The sequence below is a fragment of the Homo sapiens genome, chromosome 10 (genome assembly GCF_000001405.40).
Source record: "Homo sapiens chromosome 10, GRCh38.p14 Primary Assembly".
Lineage (NCBI taxonomy): Eukaryota > Metazoa > Chordata > Mammalia > Primates > Hominidae > Homo > Homo sapiens.
Genome location: NC_000010.11, coordinates 23,093,657 through 23,095,386, shown reverse-complemented (window position 1 = coordinate 23,095,386; position 1,730 = coordinate 23,093,657). Strand labels below are relative to the sequence as shown.

Sequence of the window (1,730 nt, the reverse complement as noted above, 5' to 3'; positions counted from 1 at the left end):
GGCCCTCCCAGGTCCCCGCCCCTCTTTCCTCCCACTCTGCCTCTCTCTCCCCCTCCCTCTTCCTCTCCTTTTCCCCTTGCCTTTCCTCCCCCTTCCTCTCCCCCTTCCTCTCTCCCTTCCCTTCCATGAGACCCTCCCCAACCCATCTCTGCATCTCCCAGCTCCTCCCACTCCTGCTCCTCCCTCGCCCTGCCCCCCTCCACCTATCCCAACTCCACTCATCCGCAGCCCAAACACTGATCTGTTTTAGTTTGCATTTTCTAGAGTCGTCCATAAATGGAATCATCCCATATGTACTTGATTTTGTCTGGCTTCTTTCACTCAACATAGTTACTTTGACATGCCTGCGTGTTTTTGCATGGAACAATCATTCATTGCTTCCTGAGCAGTATTCCATTTATGGATATACCACCGTGTGTTTAGTCAGCACTTGATTTAGCCTGCTTTCAATTTTTCCTGATTAGAACTACAGCTGCTAGGAACATCCCTGTGCAAATCTTTGTACAGACATATACGGTTTTTCCTCTCTGGGGTAAATACCTGGAAGTGGAATGCCCAGGTCGTAAGGTAGGTGTAACCATTTAAGAAACTACTATACTGTTTTCCCAAGTGGTTTTTTTCTTTACCTTCCCACTAGCAGTCTATGCGAGTTCCAGTTGTTCTTCATCCTTGCCAACACTTGAAAGTCCAGAGATTTTAACTGTAGATGTTCCGGTTCTGTGTAGTGGTAGCTCATTGTGGCTTTATTATGCATTCTCTAATCGTTAATGATGTTAAGCATCTTTTCATGTGCGTATTTGCAGCGAGTGTATTTTCCTTGGTGAAGTGTCCGTTCAGATCTTTTGCCCATTTAATGTTGAGTTGTTTCATTATTGAGCTTAGAACACTTTATATATTTTGGATGCAAATCTTTTATCAAACATATGCTTTACAAAGATTTTTTTTCCCAGTCTCTTGTTTGTCTTTTCTGTCTCCTAATATTGTCTTGGGAAGAGCAGTTTTTAATTTTGATGAAGCCCAATTTATCAATTTGTTAATGGATTGTTCTTTTTTTGGTATCATATTTAAGAAATCTTTGCCTAATCCAAGATCACAAAGATTCTCTCCTATGTTTTGTTCTAAAATTTTTATAGTTCTAGGTTTTACATTTAGGTCTCTGACCGATTTAGAATTTTTATATATGGCCAAAATTTTTGTTTTGTTTTGTTTATCTGTTTTGTTTTTTGCATATCTATATCCAGTTGTTCCAGCACCATTTTTATTGATTGATTGATTGATTGATTGAGACAGAGTCTCTGTCGGCCAGGCTGGAGTGCAGTGGCACGATCTTGGCTCACTGCAACTTCCATCTTCCAGGCTCAAGCAATTCTTCTGCCTCAGCCTCCTGAGTAGCTGGGATTACAGGCGTGTGCCACCACGTCTGGCTAATTTTTGTATTTTTAGTAGAGACGGGGTTTCACCATGTTGGCCAGTCTGGTCTTGAACTCCTGATCTCAGGTAATCTGCCTGCCTCGGCCTCCCAAAGTGCTGGGATTACAGGCGTGAGCCACCAGGCCTGGCTCCTAGCACCAATTTTTAAAAGACTACTCTTTCTCCACTGAACTGTTTTTGAATCTGTCAAAAATCAGTTTCCTATCAATGTGTTGTGTCTATTTCTGGACTTCCTATTTTGTCCCATTAATTAATTTGTCTATTTTTACATCAATATTACAATATCCTGATGACTGGAC

The 1,730-nt window shown here is 41.7% G+C and overlaps 1 long non-coding RNA gene across 1 annotated transcript in view; it reads left to right on the top strand.

Moving 5' to 3' along the window:
* Nucleotides 108–1,730, top strand: part of LOC107984215 (uncharacterized) — a 99,856-nt gene continuing 98,233 nt past the window's right edge. Inside the window, exon 1 of the long non-coding RNA XR_001747394.2 lies at nucleotides 108–567. This is a non-coding gene — a long non-coding RNA (uncharacterized LOC107984215). The remainder of the gene's footprint in view (nucleotides 568–1,730) is intronic.